The sequence below is a fragment of the Homo sapiens genome, chromosome X, assembly GCF_000001405.40.
Source record: "Homo sapiens chromosome X, GRCh38.p14 Primary Assembly".
NCBI lineage: Eukaryota > Metazoa > Chordata > Mammalia > Primates > Hominidae > Homo > Homo sapiens.
The window spans coordinates 105,650,538-105,677,026 of NC_000023.11; the positions used below are offsets into that span (position 1 = coordinate 105,650,538).

Genomic DNA, 26,489 nt, shown 5'->3' on the forward strand with positions numbered 1-26,489 from the left:
ATCTTCTCTTTCTAGATATAGCACTGTACTTCTCTTCTTAAAGAAACATGGCATTTTACCTTGAATTGGTTATGACTTTCTAAACCCTCTGACAGTTAGTCTTTGTCCCTTACATTTTGGGAAAATGTTACTTTATCATTTGAAGGCCTGGGATTTTTCCCTCTATCATTAGCTCTATTTGGGTTACTGAGGAGAGCTAGGAAAGGCAGGTTCAGAGTTCAGGAACATAACCTTTGCCTGAGGCTATGTAAGTTGGTAAAGCTTCCTGTGTCAGTGACACTTTGAGTAAATTCTCCCTTTATGTAACTATGCAATTTACCCATGAAGACAGAAAAAAAGGTTGATTTTTGTCCACGTCAGAAATAATTCTTCTGCACAGTTCAACTCCTTAGAGAAATACTGTTTTTTAGGTTAAGTAAGATTTTCCACTGGCATTTGTCATTGAGAAAAGGAAAAGAAGCTAGTTTTTAAAATATTCTTGGCCTTAGGAACCTAGGCGGATATATGCTCTTTTTTAAAACAGTTAGAGCTTTAATTGTGTGACTATTTGGCATGAAAGACAGCAAGGCTGTTTTTCTTATTATAAAGCTATCCCACACAGACATGATAAACAGCAGGAAAATCAGCCGAAGAATGAAAACCAAGGGGAATTAAGATTGTTCAGCCCATAGAAGAGCTGGCTAAGAGGTGACTTAGTAATGGTCTTCTAGGACCTGAAAGACAATCATTAGGACCAGATGCTCCACATCTGCAGAGAGGGTGGAGACACAGGAAATGACACTATAGCAGGAGAAAGCTTAAGGAAGAATTTCCTGGCAATGAAGGATGTCAAACATCAAGAATACATTACTTTAGAGATTATACAATTACCTCTGGGCTGTTTTACATTTTGGTTTCAAACAGGATAGATTCTGTCTTGTGTGAGATGGCTGAGGTGAGGTTTTGCATGAAGATCAAGAGAATGGACAAAATGATATCTCAAGATTCTTCTTAGTTCTATAATTCTGTGAAATCTGTATCTTTATATATTATTTGCACTATGTCCCCCAAGGTGCTCATTTTACAATGTGCTATTTGCATTATATTTTCACTTAATGGGGTTTCAATTTCTGTTATTCCTAGTTATGGAAATTTATTATGTGACTTTTGTACCCTCTTGGATTGTTGAAAACTGCAACTCTGCCTCACTGTTCTTCTATTTTCCAATACTGTATTTTCTCCTTTTGTTAATTCTCTCACTTTTCAGTCATGTGTTTACTCCCCTGTGAAGACCTCCTGAAAGCAGGTGCACGCTTTGCACAGTATTTAGCACAATTAGTGTTTTAAGCCAATTTAATAACTAATTATTGTTTTATAATTTCAAAATGTAATGCAGTATGAGAAAATGTGATCCCATACAATGATATTCTCATATAATCTATAAACTTTTCACTTGACCTTCACCGAGTATATGCCTTTAGAGCCACATTTGCAGTGTCTATGTCAAAATAACCATTTGGTTCAGTAATTTTAAGGCAGGGGGTAGGTGGCTTCAGCTAGAAAGAGAAACTGTCAATCCACTTAATTGGCAACTTTAGATTAAAATTATCATTTGATTGCCTGAATCTTTCTTTGTACTAAGTTGTGTTGGCTGACATGTAGGTATGTTATATGCCTGTCTTGGTAAAAGAACCTACAGATCCATTTGATTCTAGCAAGAACCCATCAAATGCCAGAGGCTCCTCACTGCCTAAACAAAATTCTTAATTCATCAACCTCACACTCAAGGTTCTTAATCTTGACATGAACCTTCCTCTGCTATTTTGATTCCTCAGAATGTGTCCTCTTTTCTAACTAAACTGTTCCTGTCATGTTATGCTTATCCTAAAATCCACTGCTTGCTCAGATGCTTTCTATTACCTGAAAATTACCATCCTCTCCAATTATCCAATCTTCTTTCTCTTCATTTTACTGAAATTATTATCATTGTCATCATAGATACTACTTGTTGGTGGCTGACCACGTTAAGACACTGTGATAAGCCTTCAAATTCATTATCGCACTTAGTATTTGCAAGGACACTATGTGATACAGATTATTGTTCAGAGTTCATTTCTAATAGCTTCTCTTCCAAGAGACCTTTTTTAACCAGTTGAACTCCAGTAATGCCCCCTTCTCTGAACGGATAATACTTATTATCTTTACCACTTATTAATCTTACTTCACAGTTTCTCTCATAATATTATTTCCATGAGTAAACTGTAAGACTTGAAGGGAAGAACTGTGGCTTATACTAATTTTTATAGTAGTGTAAATGCAAAATATGTAATAAACCCACAATAAACATAGTACTGTATGGAAGGATGAAAAAAAAGATGGACAAGTGGATGGGAAGGGTGACCAGGATCAGGTCAAGTTACACCTTGTGGCATCAATGGTATGTTATCGCTTCATTAACTAATATTTATTGGGCATCTACTGTATACAAATACTGTGCTGTAATCTATGAGGGATAAAAGAGAAGGGGAAAATACTGCTTTTGTTCACAATATAGATAGGAAGACAAAACAAAAGCCAAACAAACCAAAAGAAACAATACCAACATGGTGCTGAACTGAGCAGCATGATATAGTAATGGAATACGGAAAATATAGCTTCTGAAATCCCTAAAATATATCCTCCTTTTTCAGTTTCCTTAGGAAATTTCAGTTTTCTTCAGAAACTTGAATTTCCTCCTTTAATTCTGCACATAAAAATGCATGAGAATGTGACACATCAAAATAAGAGAAAGAATTTGTGATGCTGAAAAATGGAACCTCGACCCATTGTTTGGCATAGTAATGGCATCACAGATGTATTATAAAATTGAACATTTCTGAAACTCAATTAGTGTAAGAATCCAGGCAAAGAAATTTAAACTATATCTGATATAGCAATGATATTTTATGCATCTGAGACTGTGTGGTCATTTTTCCTCCCTCCCTTCTTCCCTCCCTTCCTCCTTCCCTCCTTTCCTTCCTTCCTTCCTCCCTTCCTTTTTTTCTTCCTTTCTTCCTTCTTGCTGAGACTTTTTCTTTTAATGCAGTAGACAGTAGTGTTATTTTTTCCCTGTAAGTAGAACAATTTTAAACCCTAGGAAAAAAGTGAAAAACATGTTCCCTTCCTCACACTCAAGCAAGTATTACTCATATGAAGTTTAACTTGAAGGTATATCTTTAAAATTTCTCAAGATAAATACTCCTTCCTCTCAGAGATTAAATTGTTTTGACTTAAAAGAACCAGGGCCATCCACTGTTTTTTGTGTATGTGTTTTTGCTTGTACATATATTTGGCAGGAGGATCAGTGAGGAGGCTGAGTATCAGTCTTCTTTATAAACTGGTTTTGAGTCTCCTTTGTGATTGTCAAAGTATGTATACAAAGTGTGGTTGTGTGTGTGTGTCTGTGTATGTGCACACACACAAACACACACACACACGCACACACCCTTTATGTTAGAGAATTGAATTGCTACAAGTAACATACTTCAAAAGTGCCCAACTTGATCCAAGGATGAAAAAGAAGCCACAGAAATCTCAAAAGCAAGCCCTGGAGATTCCAGCGGCTTGGCTGTGAGTTACTCATACTTTGACCTTTGAGGTGATGGCTGAAACTGAATGCTTAAATCTTTTAAACTCCACACTCCAGAAGAACTTTGTGAAATATTGTAAACTCCTGTCAATATTTCTGGAGGCCAGCAGAAGATAGAAATTAGGTCTCCCTCTCCTCTACCCAAATGGAGGAATAAGAGCTAATTTTTCTTTTAGGCCACTTAGCTCCTCTCTAGGTCAACACTCCATAGGCTCAACTTCTACTTTTCTTTTATCCCCTTTAATCTCTTACCTTAGCCTGTGAAACATGAAGGTTTAAATCTGGATTGATGAGATGTTTCTTTGATATTTTGAATAAAGTTTATAATCAATATTCAGTAATAATATGGATTATGGCTATAGTAATTTGAGAAGTTGCTAAGTGGCTTGCCTTCAAAACTGTATCAAATATGGTCCTATTTGACTATTTTCAGTCAGAATATTTTAAATTAAATATTTAAAAGTCCTCAGCCTTCCTTTCTAGTCCTCCATTGCTTGTGTGCCAGTATCTATTACCAAACAGGCTAAAAACATCTTATTTTATTTGCTTTTCTGCAAATAAGCTCCATTTTAATACTGCAACCAAAGTCATGTTTCTGGCATTTATTGACTTCCTGTTTTAGAATAGTTTCCCTTCTTTGCTTTTCAGAACACACCACTATGGCTTTCAGATACACATCAACTTGTTCTCCTGTCATCAGAATTTGGGCTGAAAGAAAATGAATTTGGAAAATCTGTGAGACCTAGGTACAGATCACTCTCCAGTTTAATTCTCCCTCCCTGCTCTTCCCACTTATCCCATTGACAGACAATCCCTGGAGCAAGGGTAGGCAGAAGCCCCCGGGAAGTGTGAATTTTTCAAGAAATTTTAGATTTGGTTGAAATGGTGGAAAATCCTCTTGTGGTTCTGAGAGTGAAGATTCTTCAATATGGCCATGCTGGCTTACACCTTTTCATTTGGTACTTTAAAACTTTGGATGTTTCTTTCTGCCGTAAGCCTAACATAAGTGATATTAGGTCATACACTTGATCTGTTCCTAAAAAGTGTCCAAGTATCACTTTTCTGTGCTGGAAGCAAACATCTATTTGGGCTCTAAATCAGGACCCAGGCACAAAGTACCAATCTTTAGTCTGTGACAGTGGAAACTTATGGGGCACCCCATCTCTCCCACCATATAACATCTCATCCCATCTCATCCCAACCCATCTCATTCTGTATACATATATAATTTCTTTAATTACAAAATAATCATTTCTATTTCTGAAATTGTTTTCTGTATTTCCAATTATTTAGTGACTTTTGGCTTATTAAGCTCTGTAATCTGTTGCTCTTCTTATGTTCCAATGGACTTGTTTGGCTGCAAAAATGTTATAAACAGTCTTAGCCTATTTTGCAATTATCTGTATTACTTGAATGTCAGAGTACAAGTAAAACACATTTTTGATGAAGAGAATTCATTTAACATTTTAGCCATAAACCTGGATCTTTGAAAAAGCATGAATCAGACAGTAGAATGGGTCACAATTATATCACTCTTCATTTTGGTTTTCAGTCCTTCTAAAAGTGATATTTTGTTGATTAAGGAATTAGACCATTGGCATCAACATGGTATATCTGACAGCACCCTTCCTTTATCATTGCAGTTATCAGGTTTTCTTGTCTTTGCTTTTATACATTTTTTGTTTAATTTTTGTGGGTACATAGGAGGTATGTATATTTATGGAGTAAATGAGATGTTTTTATACAGGCATGCAATGTGAAATAAGTACATCATGGAAAATGAGGTATCCATCCCCTTATGCACTTATCCTTTGAGTTACAAATAATCCAATTACACTCTGTAAGTTATTTTAAAATGTATGGTTAAATTATTATTGACTATATTCACCCTATTGTGTTATCAAACAGTAGGCCTTATTCATTCTATTTTTTGGTACCCATCAACCATCCCTACCTCCCTCCCAACCCCCCACTACTATTCTCAGCCTCTGGTAACCAACCTTCCATTCTCTATGTCCATGAGTTCGATTGTTTTAGTTAACAGGTTCTTGTCGGAATTGAAATATTGGGAGATTGTCATGTACCTTTTAATTTTAATTTCCCATTTTAAAAATCTTTTATTGTTGTAGAGGTTAGCAGGTGATGGGAGAAAAGAGAAGCAAGTGAGTTCTACATATGCATACCCCCATTATTTGTATTATCTTTGTTTTGGAGTAGATACATGAAAGGAAAATAATTGCCATTGCATAATAGCAAGTCTTCATATCACAACCTGTTTGGTTATTTTTTTTTACTACTATTCAACAAGAAAGAACATATTTATTGAGCACGTATTTTGTGAGAAGTACTACATAATGTGCTCTAGGAGACCAAAAATAACTGAGATACAGACTATATCCCTCCAAAGAATGTATTGTCCAGTAGTTGTATCATTTTTTAGTACACACTTTACCTTTGTTTTATTTTCCTGCAAAGCAAGAGACCATAAGCCCTAACCAATCACTCATTTGGGTACCTGTCAAGAAGTGGTATGGTTTCTGGAGGACTTTGTGGCAATATCTTTTGCTCGAGAGGTCTTTTGGTTCTCTTCTCTCTTTTCACAGGGTGTACAGTTGACAAATTTTGCAAAGAATATCACAGGTTCCTCTGTCTCTCAAATCAAGAGTCTTGGTTTTAGCTGCACAAGAAGCACATATTCTCTGTTCTAAAGAAAGCAATAACTCATTGTTCAGAATATTGTTTATTCTACTTCTGACTTTCTCTAGACTCATGGATCACACATAGGTTACATATAACTTTCCATTAATATCTTTGACCATGACAAACTATTTTAGATTTCTTTTACCTTTGCAAATAGAGTCCATTTCCTCCGTGTCACATTTATAGGCCCTACAAAATCTATGATCACACTACTACTATGACTCTGACTCTGACTACTCCTATTACTACTACTACATACACACGCATGAACACATACCCTGCACACTCATGCTATTCCTGAAAAGAGCATGAAGATATATAGTGGTAGAATGATGTTATCTGTGATGTCAAAATAAAAAATTGAGGACATCCCTATATATTCCTAGCCATCTTTAATTTATTATGAGCCTGTCATTTAGAAATTTATTCTAAATTCTCCTTGAACCTAATTGTACTTGTACTTTCAGCCATTTCCATCAGTTGGTATATCAAACTCTGTGTGTCTACTACCTACAGTGGGAAGTATAAGTGTTCTGTTTAATTTTCATAACATTATTTCTAAGGAAATTCATCTCTTTGGGATGTCTCAGATAATTTGGTGACCAACTTTGTGTTTTCTCATCCATCTGTATCTTGATATTGTGAACATGTACCTTACTCAGAGCTATACTTTCTTAGACTTGAGAGGTATGTCTTACTTTGCTTCTATCTCCCACTAGAGAGTTCAGCATGTAGTGGTGTACTAAAAGACCTGAATCAACACAGTCATTATCATTCTTCTTTTGTTGAGATGGAGTTTCGCCCTTGTTGCCCAGGCTGGAGTGCAATGGCACGATCTTGGCTCACTGCAACCTCCGCCTCCCGGTTCAAGCGATTCTTGTGCCTCAGCCTCCTGACTACCTGGGATTACAGGCGCCCACCTCCACACCCGGCTAATTTTTTGTATTTTTAGTAGAGATGGGGTTTCACCATGTTGGCCAGGCTGGTCTTGAACTCCTGACCTCAGGTGATCCACCCACCTCGGCCTCCCAAAGTGCTGGGATTAGAGGCATCAGCCACCGCAACCAGCCTATCCTCGTTAATCCAATGGCCTATTATAGTAGCTATCTATCATGTTTGGAAGCACCAAATTAAAAAAAAAAAGGACTTTCTAAAATCTACTTAAATAGATCACATTCTGATTAATAAGATTATTATAACATGGCTGGCCGACTGGACCTTAGAGTATAATACTATTAGTCTATGTGAACTATTAAAGTACATTAATAATGTATAAGACCCATCCTTCTCACAGAAAGCTGCATAGACTAAGAAGTTAGAAAAAAAAAATAATTAACTCGCCCCTCCTCCAGTTACACACAGTTCAGTGTGGAGAGAGTGACTCCATTTGTTTAGGGGAAAGTAAGGGAAGAGAACAAGAGTCTCTGCTTGGTGATCCAGGGAAATGCCCAAGACCACAAAAGCAATACCTCCACAAGTACGCAAGAGCCACAGTATAACTGGGCTTTGGGTGCCCCCTAAAGCAGATATGACTATAGTTACAAAAATCTTGCATTGCAACACCCACATCCTTTAAATGCCTGGAAAGCTTTCTCAAGAAGGGTGGACACAAACAAGCTAAGATTGCAAACACTAAAATAAATAACTCTTTAATATCCAGACACTGACTAACATCCACAAGCATCAAGAACCCCCAGAGGATAGGCACAGTGGCTCACACCTGTAATCCCAGCAATTTGGGAGGCCAAAGCAGGTGGATCACTTGAGGCCAGGAGTTCAAGACCAGACTGGCCAACAGGGTGAAACCTGTCTCTACTAAAAATACAAAAAAATTGCCGAGGTGTGGTGCCTCACGCCTGTAACCCCAGCACTTTGGGAGGTGGGCAGATCATGAGGTCAGGAGTTCGAGACCAGCCTGGCCAGCATGGTGAAACCCCATCTGTACTAAAAATACAAAAAAAAAAAAAATTAGCCAGGCATGGTGGCACGTGCCTTTAGTCCCAGCTACTTGGGAGGCTGAGGCAGGAGAATTGCTTGAACTTGGCAGGCGGAGGTTGCAGTGAGCCAAGGTCACGCCATTGCACTCCAGCCTGGGTGACAGAGCAAGACTCCGTCTCAAAAAAAAAAAAAAAAAAAATTAGGTGTGGTGGCACGTGCCTATAGTCCCAGCTATGTGGGCGGCTGAGGCACGAGAATCACATGAACCTGGTAAGTAGAGGTTGCGGTGAGCTGAGATCATGCCATTGTGCTCCAGCCGGGGCAACAGAGTGAGACTCTGTCTCAAAAAACAAAACAAAAAGAAAACAAACAACAGCAACAACAAAAAACCACCAACACCACCCGGGAACACATAAACTCAACAAATGCACTAAATAAGGCACCAAAGACCAATCCAGGAGAGACATAGATAGAGACCTTTCAGACGGAGAATTCAAAATAACTGTTTTTTGAATCCAAGATAACACAGAGAAGGAATGCAGAGTCCTATCAGATAAACATAACAAAGAGATTGAAGTAATTAAAAAGAATAGGGACGGGCGCGGTGGCTCAGGCCTGTAATCCCAGCACTTTGGGAGGCCGAGGCGGGCGGATCACGAGGTCAGCAGATCGAGACCATCCTGGCTAAAACGGTGAAACCCCGTCTCTACTAAAAATACAAAAAATTAGCTGGGCGTGGTGGCGGGCGCCTGTAGTCCCAGCCACTCGGGAGGCTGAGGCAGGAGAATGGCGTGAACCCGGGAGGCAGAGCTTGCAGTGAGCCGAGATTGCACCACTGCACTCCAGCCTGGGCGACAGAGTGAGACTCTGTCTCAAAAAAAATAAATAAAATAAAAAAAAATAAATAAAAGAATAAAAAAAATTCTGGAGCTGAAAAATGTAATTGACATACAGAAGAATGTATCACATTCTCTTAACAGCAGAGCTGATCAAGCAGAAGAAAGATTTAGTGAGCTTGAAGACAGGCTATTCGAAAATAAATACTCAAAGGAGACAAAAGAAAAAGAATAAAAAACAATGAAGCATACCTGCAAGATGTAGAAAATATCCTCAAAGGGTAAATCTAAGACTTATTGGCCCTAAAGAGGAAAGAGAGAGAGATATTGGGGTAGAAAGTTTATTCAAAGATTTAATGACAGAGAACTTCCCAAACCTAGAAGAAGATATAAATATTCAATTACAAAAAGGTTATAGAACACCAGGTAGGTTGAACCCAAAGAAGACACCTCAAGGCATTTATTAATCAAACTCCCAAAGGTCAAGGATGAAGAAATGATCCTAAGAGCAGCAAGAGAAAAGAAATAACATGTAAAAGAGCTTCAGTATGTTCTGGAATCAGATTCTCAGTGGAAACCTTACAGGCCAGGAGAGAGTGGTATGATATATTTCAAGTGCTAAAGAAAAAAAACTGTATCCTAGAATAGTATATCCAGTGCAAATGTCCTTCAAACATGAAGGATTAATACTTTCCCAGACAAACAAAAGCTGAGGGATTTCATCACCACCAGACCTATCCTACAAGAAATGCTAAAGAGAGTTATTTAATCTGAAAGGAAAGGACATTAACAAGCAATAAAAAATCATCTGAGGGTACAAAACTCACTGCTAATAGTAAGTACCCAGAAAAACACAGAATATTACAATGCTGGAATTGTGGTATGTTAACTACTCATATCTTGAGTAGGAAGATGAAAAGATGAAGAAATAAAAAAATAATAACCATAACAACTTTCCAAGACATAGTACAGTAAGATATAAATAGAAATTTAAAAAAGTTAAGAAGCAGAGGGACACAGTTAAAGTGTAGAGTTTTTAGTAGTTTTCATTTTGCATGTTTGTTTATGCAACCAGTGTTAAATTTTTATCAGTTTTAAATAACAGGGTATAAGATATCATTTGTGAGACTCATGGTAACCTCAAAACAACATAAAACAGATATATAAAAAATAAAAAGCAATAAATTAAAACACATCACTGAAGAAAATTGCCTTCACTAAAAGGAAGACAGAAAGGAAGGAAAAAAGGAAGAGAAGACCACGAAACAATAAAAAGACAAATAACAAAATGGCAGGAGTAAATCCTTACTTATCAATAATAACATTGAATGTAAATGGACTAAACTCTCCAATCAAAAGATGTTCAGTGGTTGGATAGATTTAAAAAAAAACAAGATCCAGTGATATATTGCCTACAAGAAACACACTTTAGCTATAAAAACACACAAAGACTAAAAATAAAGGGATGGAGAAAGATATTTCATGCCAATGGAAAACAAAAAAGAGCAGGAGTAGCTATCTTTATATCAGAAAAAATAGATTTCAAGCAAAAATTGTAAGAAGAGACAAGATCATTATATAATGATAAAGGAGTCAATTCAGCAAGGGGATATAACAATTATATTTGAACACAACAATGGATATCCCAGATATGCAAAGCAAATATTACTAGAGATAAACAGAGATACAGCCTCATGCAATAATATCTGGAGACTTCGACACATCACTGTCAGCCTTGGACAGGCCTTCCAGAGAGAAAATCAACAAAGAAACATTGAATTTAATCTGTACTATAGACCAAATGAGTTTACTGGATATTTACAGAACATTTCATCCAATGGCTGCAGAATACAATTTATTATCTGCAGCACATAGACCATTCTCAAGGATAGACCATATGTTGAGCCAAAAAACAAGTCTTAAAACATTCAAAAAAGTTGAAATTATATTCAGAATCTTTTCTGACCATAATGGGATAAAACTAGAAATCAATAACAAGAGGAATTTGGGGAACTATAAAAATACATGGAGGCTGGTCTGAGAATCTCAAATATTGTAGCTGTCTAATACTTATCAGTTTCTAATTTCTGTCCGCTGATTCACAGAGTAGCTTACTACTTTCAAAAGAGAAAGAGCTTGAAAGCCATTCTGCATTCTTTTTCTACTTCCCAGTTGACACTGGAGTTGCTGCAGAGGGTTCCCTTTAAAACTAGTTAAAAAGTATTCCATAAAATAAATGCAATATTTTTCATCTTTTCTTTCTTTTATTTACTAAAGATACGGACTTACTTTCAAAGTCTATTTTCTTCTTTACTGCAAAGTAGATTTGGCAATCCTGAGCTAGATCCATTCCATTACAAACTTCAGATAAAATGGCAGCAATAGAAATAGATTATTAAATCATTAGCCAGTTGTCTAATTACACTGTGAAATCTAAAGCATACCTCCTTTATTGTCACTCACAGAAACTTTCCCTATCTTAGCAAAATCTTCAATCAGTGTTTATCTCTCATTCCTTTTCTTCTACACTCTTCCTACTTTATCTTCCACCAAAGCCAGAATTTTCACTGCTCTCATGCTTTTTTGTTTCTGTACATCAGAAGCTCTTCCAGTGATACTTACAGAATGCTCATGCTTATGAGTGGGAATAGCATCTGAAAAGCTTTGTTAGCATGACATCTCTTTATGAGCTGATTCCACATCTTAGACAGAACTCTCAGAATCTCCCTTTGTAAAATCTTAGATTTTTACACTGACCTTTATGTTATATGGCTTGTGTTTTGTGTACCCAATCTCTTATTGGATGTGTGACTAATGTGAGTATCATCAACTGATACAAGGAAAGATGCCCAAAATAAACAAGTTAGCCATGGTAGTGCTTTTGAAAAATATACACACATTATTTGAAACTCCTCCCCTCAAGAAGTGGAGACTAGTTCCTCTCTCTTAGAGTATGGGCTGACCTTAATGCACTTCTAACAAATAGAGTAAAACAAAGGCAGGTGTGTGTCACCTTGGCGATTCGATCATAAAAGGTACTGTGTCTTCCTCCTCACTGGCTCTCTCTCAGGTCGTTTGCGCAGAGGGAAATTTACAGCCATGTCATGAGGACATTTAGGTATCCTATGGAGAGGCCTACCATGGTGAGAAACTGAGGCTTCCTGCTAACAGCCATGTAAGTGAGCCATCTTGAAGTGGATCTTGAAGACCTAGTCAAGACTTCAACCTCCTAGGAGATACTGAACAGAACCAGCTAAGCCATACACAAATATCTGACAAACAGAAACTGTGAAATAATAAATGTTGATTATTTTAAGTCACTAAGTTTTAGGGTAATTTGTTACATAGAAATAGGTAACAGGATATTCATAGGTTTAACAATTAGCCTATCACATCTCTCAAAAATGGTAAAGGGGATTTTCTATATGATACTTACCTATATAGTTGACCCTTAAAACAACATGTGTTTGAACTCTGTTGGTTCACTTACATGTGGGTCTTTCTCCACAAATATATCAGAAAATTTTTGGAGAGTTGTGACAATTTGTAAAAACTAGGAGATGAATTGCTTAACCTAGAAATATCAAAACAATAAGAAAAAGTTATGTAATGAATGCACAAAATATATGTACATCCTAGTCTACTTTATCATTTACACAAATATAATATACAAAAGTATATTACGAAAAGTTAAAATTAAAGACACTGTATCAAAAAAGTTTAAATTTATCAAAACTTATACAAACACAGATCATACATGGTGCCATTCCCAGTTGAGAGAAATGTAAACAAATATAAATATGCAGTATCAAACTATAACTGCATAAAATTAACTGTAGTCCATACTATACTACTATAATAATTTTGTAGCTACCTCCTGTTGTTATTGCAGTGAGCTCAGGTATTGCGAATATCCACTTAAAATGCTGTGTGCTGCCAATCATCTTCATGTGAGCAATTCCTCTCTCCCGTAAATTGAGTATCACAGAAAAAAGTGACCTCTGGTGTTATTCATGTAGTTTTCATTGATTTTAGGGCAATACCATAAGCTTTGGATAATACCATGAGAACCCATATGAATTGCCACAAGTGATGCTGGAAGTGTCCCCAAGAAGCAGAGAAAAGTCTTGACATGACAGGAAAAAGCTGAATTGCTTGTTATGTACGATAGATTGAGGTCTGCAGCTGCAGTTGCCTGCCATTTCAAGGTAAAAGAATCCAGCTTGAAGATTATTGTAAAAAAGAAAAGAAAAGAAAAGAAAATTTGTGAAGCCATTGCTGCAGTTACCAAAAATGTTGCACTTTTTGAAAAATGCCTTTTTATTTAGTATTGAAAATGCAGCTTTTAGGTAAGTGCAGGATTGCTATAAGAAAGGCATACCTATAAAATCTAACATGATTTAAGCAAAAGTCAAGTCAATATATGATAACTTAAAACAAAAGGAAGCATACAAAGTTGAAGAATTTAATGCCAGCAAAGGATGGTTTGGTAATTTTAGAAAGAGGTTTGGCTTTAAAAATGTCAAGATAACAGGAGAAGCAGCTTTTGACAACCAAAGAGGCAGCACAAGTTTCCAGATGCCATTAAGAAAATCATTGAGGAGAAAGGATATCTTCCTGAACAGGTTTTTAATGCAAATGAAAGTGCCATATTCTGGGGAAAAGTGCCACAAAGAACATTTGTTGGTAAGGAAGAGAAGCAAGCACCAGGATTAAAGGCAGGAAGAGATAGGCGAATTCTACTCTTTTGTGTAAATGCAGTCAGGTTTATGATAGGATTGCTCCTATTTATAAAGCTGGTAACCCCTGAACCTTTAAAGGAAAAGATAAACACCAGTTGCCAGTCTGTTGATTGTACAACAAGAAGGCCTGGACAATCAATGAGAACCCTTTTCCTGGATTGCTTCCATCGATGCTGAAGTCAAGAAGCACCTTGTCAGTAAGAGACTGCCTTTTAAAGTTCTTTTGATATTGAACAATGCCCCTGACTACCCAGATGCCCCTGTGAGTTCAACACCACAGGCATCATAGTGGTCTACTTTCCCCAAAACAGAATGTCTCTAATCTAGCCTCTGGATCAGAGGGCCATAACAACCTTTAAGGCTGATTACATACAATACTCTGTGGAAAAGATTGTCAATGCTATGGAAGAAAACCTCCTCAATAAAGAGGGTGTCAGGGAAATCTGGAAGGATCACACCATTAAAGATGCTGTCTTTGTTATAGAAAAAACCATGAAAACAATCAAGCCCAAAACAATAAACTCCTGCTGGAGAAAACTGTGTCCAGATATTGTGCATAACTTCACAGAATTTGTGAGAGAACCAATCAAGGAAATGATGAACAAGATTTCTCTTTCTTATGATTTTCTTAATAACATTTTTTCTCTAGCTTAAATTATCAGAATACAGTATATAATGCATGTAGCATATAAAATATGTGCTAACTGAATAAGTATGCTACTGATAAGGGACCAGGCAACAGTAGGCTATTAGAAGTAAGTTTTAGATGAGTCAAAATTATATGTGGATTTCTACCTGCGTGTGGGCGGGGGATTAGCGGCCCTAACCCCTGCATTGTTCAAGGGCCAACTGTAGTTGATAATCAGTCAAGCCATCAAGCATAGTGGATTTTCATACTTTCACCCTTGTCTTGAATAGTTATAGCCCAAGGAGCTCAGCCTTACATAAAAGGAAATTTTATGAGCCTTTATTTTATGCGCGTGCGTGTGTGTGTGTGTGTGTGTGTGTGTGTGTGTGTAATTTAAGCCACCTTAACAAAGCATCTTATTGTACTGTTTTTCCTCCTATCATTTGGGAGGACAAAAAGACAACTTACAGGAGAAAACCTGTTACCTCTTTATGGATGGAATTTTAAAACACTTGATCTTTTGAAAACTATATTCACCATAATATTATTTAACATTACTTGTTTTTCTGAAAAAGACAAATAACAAGATATTTTCTTTCATTTTGACAGATTAGAAGAGATTAAATTTCACTGTAAATTGTTTGCTGAGTGACTGAAATAAAATATTAATTCACTAGCTGAGTATGTGTTTATTGAACTGGATTTATCTTTTTGTCCTTTCAATAGTTTTTATTTTTGTTTTTTTGTTTTTTTGTTTTTTTTTTTTTGTTGTTGTTGTTGTTGTTGTTTTCCGAGATGGAGTCTCGCTCTGTCGCCCAGGCTGGAGTGCAGTGGTGCGATCTCGGCTCACTGCAAGCTCTGTCTCCTGAGTTCATGCCATTCTCCTGCCTCAGCCTCCCGAGTAGCTGGGACTACAGGCGCCCGCCACCACGCCCGGCTAATTTTTTGTATTTTTTGTAGAGACGGGGTTTCACCGTCTTAACCAGGATGGTCTCGATCTCCTGACCTCGTGATCCGCCTGTCTCAGCCTCCCAAAGTGCTGGGATTACAGGCGTGAGCCACCGCGCCCGGCCGTAATAGTTTTTAAAAATGGGTTTTTTTTTTTTTTTGCTGTTTTGAGCAAACATGAAGTACAAAATACAGAAATTTTTACTTTCCCCAACTCAAAAACTAATAAAAAACCCACATAGCTTTATAATCTATTGCGGGATCTGGCCAGCAGCCCACAATGCAACAGGGCTCTCTCTTTGTTCCCAGGTGGATAGGCAGGTCGAGAAATAATAGACACACACAAGATAGTGAAAGCTGGGTCCAGGGGGGTCACTGCCTTCTGGTCCCGTGGTGCCAACAATGCACTGAATATACCAGCATTTATTATTAAGTTTAGTGAGGGCGGGGGTAGGTTAGTGAGGGATTTAGTGTCATTTGATTATGAGGTGAGATGGTCACATGGGGATGAAGTAATTCTTTAACATAACATCTGTATGCAGAAGTACAGTATACAGAGAAAGGAATTTACAATATAGTGTGTGCATCGGTAATTTCTAACAGAGCCGTAAAACAGAAACACAGTCTTTCCATAACCTATTATTAGCAAGATATTAATCAGCAGTAACAGTTGCAGCAAAAGCTGGTTACAAACAATCCATAGAAACAGGACTTGAAGCTAGACAACCAGTTAGACCAGAAATTCTCAGAAGGCAGTATGCCTTAACCCTAAAGAAGCCTAGAAGAGCCGTGGCAAGATGAGGGCATTTATAGTCCTATCTTATCCATATGGACAGGCGCCCCTCATGTGTCCATTTATAGGCTCTCCACAAGGGTCGCATTCCATTCCCAGAGCTATGAACATCTGCTTTTCTGGGATAGGAATCTTGGTGATGTGAAACCTCCCTGACTGCACGTCCATTCATAGGCTCTCTGTAGGGGGAAGCACATCACGCGCTGTTGGCTCATTCTGGCAGTCCAGCCTGGCATTGTCTTTACACAATCCTGCATGCAACTTTGTATTTACAATAATCAGGAGCATTTCATCTTTTATTCCATAGCAATAGTTTCAGGGGGTCTCCCTACATCTCCCCCTTTTCTCTGATTTAAATGAACCATAGCAATCATAGCTTGGCACTGATCACGACTGGATTGAAGAATATTTTTTTCCAATTTTACATATGAACAATAAACCAATAGCACAAATTATACACAGAACAAAATTAACGATAGTGGATCCTCCCAAAGATTTTACCCATTGAATGGGGTTGAGGTTAGATAACCCCTCAGAGATACCGTCTAAAACTTCAGGACCGGGTAAAGCAGTTAAGTGTGCTTGAGAGGCCTCAAAAATCTGTTGTTTTAGCTTGCTTATGTCTAAACTTAAATTGTCTTCACTTCTTTGTAAATGGCGTTTTACTGATTCCCAATTGTGAACAGACTCATTATATTGAAACAGAGTTATACAAAAATCAGAATTATTCCAATCACATTGCATTTATAATCTATGTTCTAAACTCAATTCTATCTCCCATCCATATAACAGTTTGTCTTAGATCATTAATTTGATTGGCCAATTTTTGATCAATACCTGACTGAGAATTCCACATCCAAGTAGAATTTTTTTGCCATTTATCCACAAAATGAACAGTTTGAATAGATTGATGTAATGCAACTCCAGCAGTAGCAGCAGTCACAGTAACAGCAATCAAGCCCATTATTACTGCAATTAATGTAAAAATAAATCGTTTACTCCTTTTAAGAGTTTTCCGTAGAATATTATTAATAACATGGATAGAAGGGGAAGATTCCCAAGGCCTGTGTAAGGCTACGGGGAGCCAAATACCGTCTCTGGCTCTGACTATTAAAATACTATGATATTGATTAAAGGATGAGTCAATACAAGTATACAAGTAACAATTAACACAGGTAATTATGTTGGTTTTTGAACTAACATGCATCTTTCCTATAATAACATATATGGTGATTTAACACAACTTTTAAGTGGTATAGTTTTGTTGGACTCCATATAGATAGTATATATATTTTGGGATGGTACTCCTTTTTGTGAATATGGGGTGGGGGGAATGGGTTGTATGAGAGGTGGTGGGGGGACATTAGAACGAGGGGGTATAAGTCCTTATAATCTTTACTGTCCCATCTTTGAATTGACCTTTTGACAATTGCCATAGTGATATTTTTGGCTGTATGGAAATAGTAGTGTAAATCAATCTGTTGTCTTAGTTTTTGAGGTGACAAGGTGGATTTACTTATAACACTTTCTCCAGCCCAAACTCTCATACCAGTCATAGCTATGGTTAATCTCCATAATTCTGAATGTTCAGGTCCTAAGTGGGGAACAACGAGCCTTGGCTTTGGAGGGGCAACCCCTGCCCCTTTCCACTTAAGAGGAAAAAAGGAGTTAAATCTACAATATAATAGGGGAGGGTTGTCACTACTTTTTTGATAAGTAATATCATAGAGAAAATGTTGACAATCTCTATGACCTTGAGAGCAATCATTAGTAATATGACCTTTGGGAGCCCAATCAACAATGGTGTAGTGAGAAGAATTAAATAACACAGTTCCTTCTGAACTAACACAATCCTTCCATATTAATTTGCCAGCATTTGAAGACAAGTTGAGAGGACATGCAGGTCCTAAAGGCTTATATTGGGATGTGTGAATATAATCAGTGATTCCTGTTTTGATCTGCCTTAGAGGTTTTAATGAGAGCCCTGATACCAAGTGTCCTAAAGGAGGGACAGAGTGACCAGACGGTAGTGTGACCACCCATGTTTGAATATCTAATAAGAGACATCCATTAGTGGGTCCCAGGCACAAAGGTGGATACCTAAAACCTAAAGCGATATTGAAAGGGGTTCCTTCTTCTGAAGGTTGGGCAGGACAAGGATCATCTACAGAACCAGGCATCCAAATACCGTCATTAACATAGACCTCAAAAGGAGCATCCATCCATGTCATGGCTCGAGTAAGAGGAGGAAAAGGAATATAGGCCCAATATGTATAGTTTTAACAGTCTGTGGGGTTAAAGAGGGTGGAAGGATCTCATTTTAAAATTATCTAACATTATTTTAATAGCAAGCTGCAGCTCACAATTAGTTGATCTCTTTGTGATCTTTACCATGTTTTCAACAATATTTAAATAAAAATAAGATTACTTATTTTTGTGAGTTATGTGGATTCCAAAATAAGTTAGAGTAAAAAGCAGGGTGGGTGTTTCTTAACCTTGTACAAAAAAGCAATAAAAGATTTCCCATGTTGATTATTTCTCATTCATTACGCTTTCTGGGATTCATTGGTTCAAGTTTTCTCCGTCTTCTGCACATGTGCTTAATATCCCCAAAGGATGTGAAAGGGGTAAACATTTTATATTAATTATGTATAGAAAATCCTGGCTTGTCCCACCCACAATTTCACCTTGGTACCCCATAGCCAAATACCTGAGACTTCATTTCTTAGAAGATAAACTCAAGCATCACATTGTCCTGGTCTTGCGGCATTCTTCTCTTCTTTTTCCACCCAAAGCAATTTTTCTAATTAATTTTTAAATTTTGAGATGACCATTTTACAATCACATGCAGGTGTAATAAATAATTCAGAAAGATCCCATATACTCTTTACCCAGTTTTCCCCAGTGGTAAACTCTTCTGGAACTATAGCACAATCTGACAACCAAGATACTAACATTGATACAGTATCATAACACAGAACAGTTCTATCCTGACAGAAATCCTTCATGTTGCACTTCTATAGTAACACCCATTTCCCTCCCACCACTATCCCCTATTTAACTTCTGGCAACCACTAAACTTCTCTCCATTTCTGTAATTACGTTACTTTGAGAATGTTGAATTTGTTTATTTTTCTAAAACTTTTACAGTGCTACATTTTACATTTAAGTCCTCAGTCCATTTTGAATTATTTTTATTATATAACTTGTGAGACTTAGTTCACGGTTCATTATTTTTTGCCTATGGATGTCCAGTTTTTCTAGCACCATTTGTTGAAAAGCCTGTCTTTCCTCCATTGAAGTACTTGAAGTACTTTTACATTTTTGTAAAAAATCAGCTGGGAATATTTGTGTGGCTCTATTTCTGGGTTTCCTGTATATATATATATATATATATATATATATATATATATATATATCTCCACCAGACCACACAGTCTTGATGACTAAAGCTATATAATAAATCTTGAAATCAAATGGACTGATTTTTCCTACTTTTTTTTTTTTGCAATACTGTTTTAGCTATTCTAAGTTCTTTGACTTTTCACATAAATTTAGTGTAATCTTGTCTATATCTTTTTTTTTTTTTGAGACGGAGTCTCGCTCTGTCACCCAGGCTGGAGTTCAGTGGCACGATCTCGGCTCACTGCAAGCTCTGCCTCTCGGGTTCATGCCATTTTCCTGCCTCAGCCTCCTGGTAGCTGGGACTGCAGGAGCCCGCCACCGCGCCTGGCAAATTTTTTGTATTTTCAGTAGAGACGGGGTTTCACAGTGTTAGCCAGGATGGTCTCGATCTCCTGATCTCGTGATGCCCCCGCCTCAGCCTCCCAAAGTGCTGGGATTACAGGCGTGAGCCACCGCGCCCGGCCAATCTTGTCTATATCTAAAAAAAAAAAATCTAACTGGAATGTTGATAGTAATGCATTAAACCATTATAACAATTTGGGGTAAATTGACATCTGTACTATGATGAGTCATCCAATTCACGAACACACTGTGTCTATTTATTTAGATCCTTTATGATTCATTTATTCAGTGTTCCATATTTTTGACATACAAGTCCAGCACATGTTTTGTTAGATTTACACCTAAGTACTTTATTTTTTCAATGATTGTAAATGACACTATATTTAAAATATTTTTTGGTGTGTGTGTGTGCGTGTATATATATTATATATATATACCATACATATATACATAATATATAATATATAATATTTATTATTTATTTATTTTGAGAGAGAGTTTCACTCTTTCACCCAGGCTGGAGTGCAACTGTGTGATCTCAGCTCACTGCAACCTCCGCCTCCCAGGTTCAAGTGATTCTCCTGCCTCAGCTCCCGAGTAGCTGGGATTACAGGCACCCACCACCACGCCCTGCTAATTTTTGTATTTTTAGTAGAGATGGTGTTTCGCCATGTGGGCCAAGGTGCTCTCAAACTCCTGACCTCAGGTGATCCACCGGCCTTGGCCTCCCAAAGGGCTAGGATTAAAGGCATGAGCCACCACGCCTGGCTGGTTTTTATATTTTTAATTGGTGTCTATGAATTGATTGCTTAGTTTATAAAAATACAGTTGATTCTTGTATGTTTATATTATATCCTGAAACATTGCTAAACAACTCTCTTATTCTAGGAGTTGCTTTTTATTTTTTTATAGATTCCCTAGGATTTTCAACATAGACATTATGTCATCTGGAAATAGAGGCAGTTTTATTTCTTTATTTCCAGTTTGCATGTCTTTTATTTTATTGTTTTGCTTTATTGCACTGGCTAGAACTTCCAGCAACGTATTGACTAAGAGCAGTGATTTTCAGCTGTTGATAAGGGGTCATTTGGCTCTGTCTGCTTTCAAAAATTTGTCTTTGTGTTTAGTTTCTAGAAGTTTAAATATAATGTGTCTTGGTATGGATTTCTTTGTGTTTACCCTGTTAGAGGTACACCCAACTTTTTAAATCTATAGGTTTATATTTATACCATATATGGGACATTTTTAGGCATTATTTATTTGAGTACCAACATCATTTCCTTTTCTCCCCAGGACTCCAATGGCTTGAATGTGAAACCTTTTGTTATAGTCACACAGGTCCTAGACTATCTATTCATTTTTTTTTCTAGTCTATTTTTTCTCTACTGTCCAGAATGAGTAATTACTGTTCTATTTTCAGTTCGATGGTTTATTTCATCTATCCCCTCCATTCTGTTTTTGAGCCCATCTATTGAGCTTTCTATTTCAATTATTGTACTTTTTAATTCTGGAATTTTCATTTCGTTCTTTATATTTCTAATTCTTTGCTGGGACTTTCTATTACTATACTGAGGCTTTAGACTTGATTCATGTATCTTCATAATTGTTTGCTGGAGTTTTTTTATTATGACTGTTTAAATAATTGCCACATAATTTTAACATGTCTGTCATCTTGGTGTTGGTATCCGTTATCTTTGTTCATTTTTTTTTGAGATTTTCCTATTTTTGGTATAACTACTAGCTTCCAATGTAAACCTAGACGTTTTGTACTATGTTCTTATTTAAATCTTCTATTTTAGCTGTCTTTCTCTAATACTGCTCCATCAGGGAAAATAGGGAAATTAGCTCATTGTTGCTAGGTGAAGGTAGAAGCCCAGGTTCCCCACTCAGCTTCCACTGACAGCCAAAGTGAGAGTCTCCTAACTACTACTACATAGGTGAGAGTTCCAGGTTCTTCCATGGTCTCCACTGATACCTTGGTGGAGGTGGCTTTATTATTACTTGGCAATTGTGAAAGGCCTCCTCCGACAGAACCCCTGTAGGGGGTAGAGGGATGTCTCATTACAGCTGAGTCGGGGTAGAAGTCCAGACTTCTCACATGGTGTCTCACATAGATACTGCAAAGGGGCAAGAGGAGTGTGATTCTCATTAACAACAGGCAGGGATTAAGTCTTAGCTTTCTATTTGGCCATCTCTGATACCATCCCAATGGCATGCTAGACAACTTGTTACAGCATCCTAAGAGTGAATGTCTAGGCTCTCTAGTTATCCTTTGCTGGCATGGGCAGGGATGGTACCATATTTTTTTCTGTGATGTTTGGTTGGACTATAATAATTATTATCCAAAGGCTTTCTATCTTTCTAGGCTTCCCCTTTTTTAGTCTTTTAGATAGGAAGAGCAGATCTTTGCTGGGCTTTTTATGTCTGCGACTGTTGCCATTTCTGGGTTTCTGGCTTGTTCAGTAACAAGTCTGGTGTATATGAGACACAAAGAAGACCCAGGGACCTAACCACTGTGTCATCCCTTGTGTCCTGTAGTCCTTAGCCTGTCTGCCTTCTTCTCCCTGTTTTTCAGCATCATCTTATGTTTGCTTTACACATAATATCCAGACAGCTTAGTTGTACCTCGTGGGAAAAATAGGAGATATTATAGCGACTCTATCTTCCCAGAAGCATAAGGCTTTATTTCTATTTTTAGTTTTAGTTCTGGGGTACATATGCAGTATGTGAAGGTTTGTAACATAGGTAAACGTGTGCCATGATGGTTTGCTGGACCTATCAACCCATCACCTAGGTATTAAGCCCAGCATGCATTAGCTATTTGTCCTAATACTCTCCCTACCCCCATCCCACTCGCTGACAGGCCCCAGTGTGTTGTTCCCCTCCCTGTGTCCATGTGTTCTCATTGTTCTGCTACTACTTATAAATGAGAACATTTGGTGTTTGGTTTTCTGTTCCTGCATTAGTTTGCTGAGGATTATGGCTTCCAGCTTCATCCAAGTCCCTGCAAAGGACATGATCTCATTCCTTTTTATGGCTGCATAGTATTCCATGGTATATATATACCACAATTTCTTTATCCAGTCTACCATTGATGGACATTTGGGTTGATTTCATGTCTTTGTTATTGTGAATAGTGCTGCAATGAACATACACATGCATGTATCTTTGTAATAGAATCATTTTTATTTCTTTGGGTATCTACCCAGTAATGGGATTGCTGGGTCAAATGGTATTTCTGGTTCTAGATCTTTGAGGAATTGCCACACCGTCTTCCACAATGGTTGAACTAATTTACATTCCCACCAACAGTGTAAAAGTGTTCCTCTTTCTCTGCAGCCTCGCCAGTATCTGTTGTTTCTTGACTTTTTAATAATGGCTGTTCTGACTGGTGTGAGATGATATCTCATTGTGGTTTTGATTTGTATTTCTCTAATGATCAGTGATGTTGATCTTTTTTTCATATGTTTGTGGGCTGTATGAATGTCTTCTTTTGAGAAGTGTCTGTTCATGTTCTTTGCCTGCTTTTTAATGGGGTTGTTTGTTTTTACCTCAAAAATGTGTTTGAGTTCCTTGTAGATTCTGGATATTAGATCTTTGTCAAACTGATAAATTGAAAAAATTTTCTCCCACTGTGTAGGTTGCCTGTTCATTCTAATGATAGTTTCTTTTTCTGTGCAAAGCTCCTTAGTTTAATTAGATCCCATTTATCAATTTTTGCTTTTATTGCAATCGCTTATGGTTATTTCATCATGACATCTTTGCCCATACCTATGTCCTGAATGTTATTGTGTAGATTTTCTTCTAGGGTTTTTATAGTTTTGGGTTTTACATTTAAGCCTTTAAGCCATCTTGAGTTAATTTTTTAATAAGGTATGAGGAAGGGGTCCAGTCTCAATTTTGAACAAATGGATAGCCAGTTCTCCCAGCACCATTTATTAAATGAGGGATTATTTCCCCATTGCTTCTTTTGGTGAAATTTGTCAAAGATCAGATGGTTGTACATGCGCAATCTTATTTCTGAGTTCTCTTCTGTTCCATTGGTCTGTGTGTGTTTTTGCACCATTACCATGCTGTTTTGGTTATTGTAGCCTTATGGTATAGTTTAAAGTCTGGTAGCATGATGCCTCCAGCATTGTTCTTTTTGCTTGGGATTGTCATGGCTATATGGGCTCTTTTTGGTTCCATAAAAAAATTAGTTTTTTTCTAATTCTGTGAAGAATGTCAATGGTAGTTTAATGGGAATAGCATTGAATCTATAAATTACTTTGGGCAATATGGTCATTTTCATGATATTGGTTCTTCCTATCCATGAGCATGGAATATTTTTTCATTTGTTTGTGTCCTCTCTGGTTTCCTTGAACAGTGGTTTGTAGTTCTCCTTGAAAAGGAACTTCATTTCCCTTGTTAGCTGTATTCCTAGGTATTTTATTCTCTTTGTAGCAATTGCGAAGGGGGGGTTCCTTCATGATTTGGCTCTCTGCTTGCCTGTTGTTGTTGTATAGGAGTGCTTGTGACTTCTGCACATTGACTTTGTATCCTGAGACTTTGCTGAAGTTGCTTATCAGCTTAAGAAGCTTTGGCGCTGAGACGATGGGGTTTTCTAGATATAGGATCATGTCATCTGCAAACAAGGACATTTTGATTTCCTCCCTTCCGATTTGAATACCCTTTATTTATTTCTCCTGCCTGGTTGCCTGGCCAGAACTTACAATACTATGTTGAATAGCAGTGGTGAGAAAGGGCATCTTTGTCTTGTGCCAGTTTTCAAGAGGAATGTTTCCAGGTTTTGCCCATTCAATATGATATTGGCTGTGGGTTTGTCATAAGTGGCTCTTATGATTTTGAAGTATGTTCCTTCAATACCTAGTTTACTGAGAGTTTTTGACATGAAGGGATGTTGGATTTTATTGAAGACCTTTTCTGCATCTATTGAGATAATCATGTGGTTTTTGTCTTTAGATCTATTTATGTGATGAATTACGTTTATTGATTTGCATATATTGAACAAGACTTGCATCCTGGGAATGAAGCCAATTTGATCGTGGTGGATAAGTTTCATGATGCGCTGCTGCATTCGGTTTGCCGTATTTTATTGAGAATTTTTGCATCAATGTTCATCAGGGATATTGGCCTGAAGTTTTCTTTTTTTGTTGTATCTCTCCCAGGTTTTGGTATCAGGATGATGCTGGCCTCATAGAATGAGTTAGGGAGGAGTCCTTCCTTTTCAAGTATTTGGAGTAGTTTCAGAAGAAATGGTATCAGCTCCTCTTTATATTTATGGTAGAATTCAGTTGTAAATCCAACTGGTCTTGGGCTTTCTTTGGTTGGTAAGCTATTTATGATTGCTTTAATTTTGGAACTTATTATTGGTCTATTGAGGGATTCAACCTATTCCTGGTTCAGTCTTGGAGGGTGTATGTGTCCAGGAATATATCTGTTTTCTTTAGATTTTTTACTTTATTTGCATAGATCTATTTGTAGTATTATCTGATGGTTGTTTATATTTCTGTGGATCAGTGGTGATATCCACTTTTTCATTCTTTATTGTGTCTGTTTGATTCTTCTCTGTTTTCTTCTTTATTAGTCTAGCTAAAAATATGGAACACTTCATGAATTTGCGTGACATCCTTGTGCAGGGGCCATGCTAATCTTCTCTGTATTGTACCAATTTTATTATATGTGCTATCAAAGTGAGCACAGCATAAGGCTTCTAAAACGATTTTTAAAAATAAGAATTGTGTCCACCTGGGTACCTCTTCCACTGGTAGAAAGTAATGAGCTCATTTAAGATCACTGAAACATCACAGGCCAGACTAGAGCTCATTCACAGTAGCTTCCATCTCATCGTAGTTTGATGCAGTCTGTTGGTAATGATAAATATTTTTCTAGACACAATTTCTCCTTGATTGGTTAGCTGGAAGGCAGGAGAGCTTTTCAGTCTCCCTAGGTGGACTGAGCTGATTATGAAGAGACCACAGAAAACTTGTCTTTTCCTTGATGGCATCAGACTCAATAGAATCCGCTTAGGGACTATACACAGGAAAGCAAGATGGGGCTAACTAAAATAATGTAGGAAAAAGGTATTCTCTTGTACCTGATGATCCCCCTTTGGCAAAAGGGAATCTCTGTCACTTGAACATCTATGTCTCTAAAGGAACCTGCTAAAGGTTACTGCTACAAATATTGGGAAATTGGTTTTACCATTAGATTTTGCTTGATACCACATTGCATGGGCTGCTTCCCAAGGTGCAAAAGTGTTAGATAAATGTCTTCTTCAATAATTACATAGTAACAACTGAATGTGTAACTACATGACACCTTGTCAAAACTCAATTACATAGTATTTTTGTTTTCCTCAACTAGTGCTATTATATCAGAGAAACAGTTATACTAAATCATAATGCTTTAGTGATGACATATTTATTTACTAAATGATCAGGTATGACATGAAATTTCTTCTTAAATTATATTTAACAAGATACATAGTAATTTCATCATTTTCTGCTGTTTGCTATGTGAAGTAAACCTCCAATTTTTTAAAGTTTCC

The 26,489-nt window shown here is 37.2% G+C and overlaps 1 protein-coding gene, 1 long non-coding RNA gene and 1 pseudogene across 3 annotated transcripts in view; 1 reads left to right on the forward strand and 2 right to left on the reverse strand.

Moving 5' to 3' along the window:
- Window positions 1–26,489, forward strand: part of IL1RAPL2 (interleukin 1 receptor accessory protein like 2) — a 1,201,631-nt gene that overhangs the window by 1,084,339 nt on the left and 90,803 nt on the right. The gene's annotated exons all lie outside the window — the stretch shown is intronic.
- The window catches only part of LOC105373303 (uncharacterized), a 135,721-nt gene continuing 120,326 nt past the window's right edge, over window positions 11,095–26,489 (reverse strand). Inside the window, exon 4 of the long non-coding RNA XR_938493.3 lies at window positions 11,095–12,655. This is a non-coding gene — a long non-coding RNA (uncharacterized LOC105373303). The remainder of the gene's footprint in view (window positions 12,656–26,489) is intronic.
- Window positions 25,535–25,640, reverse strand: RNU6-207P (RNA, U6 small nuclear 207, pseudogene; annotated as a pseudogene).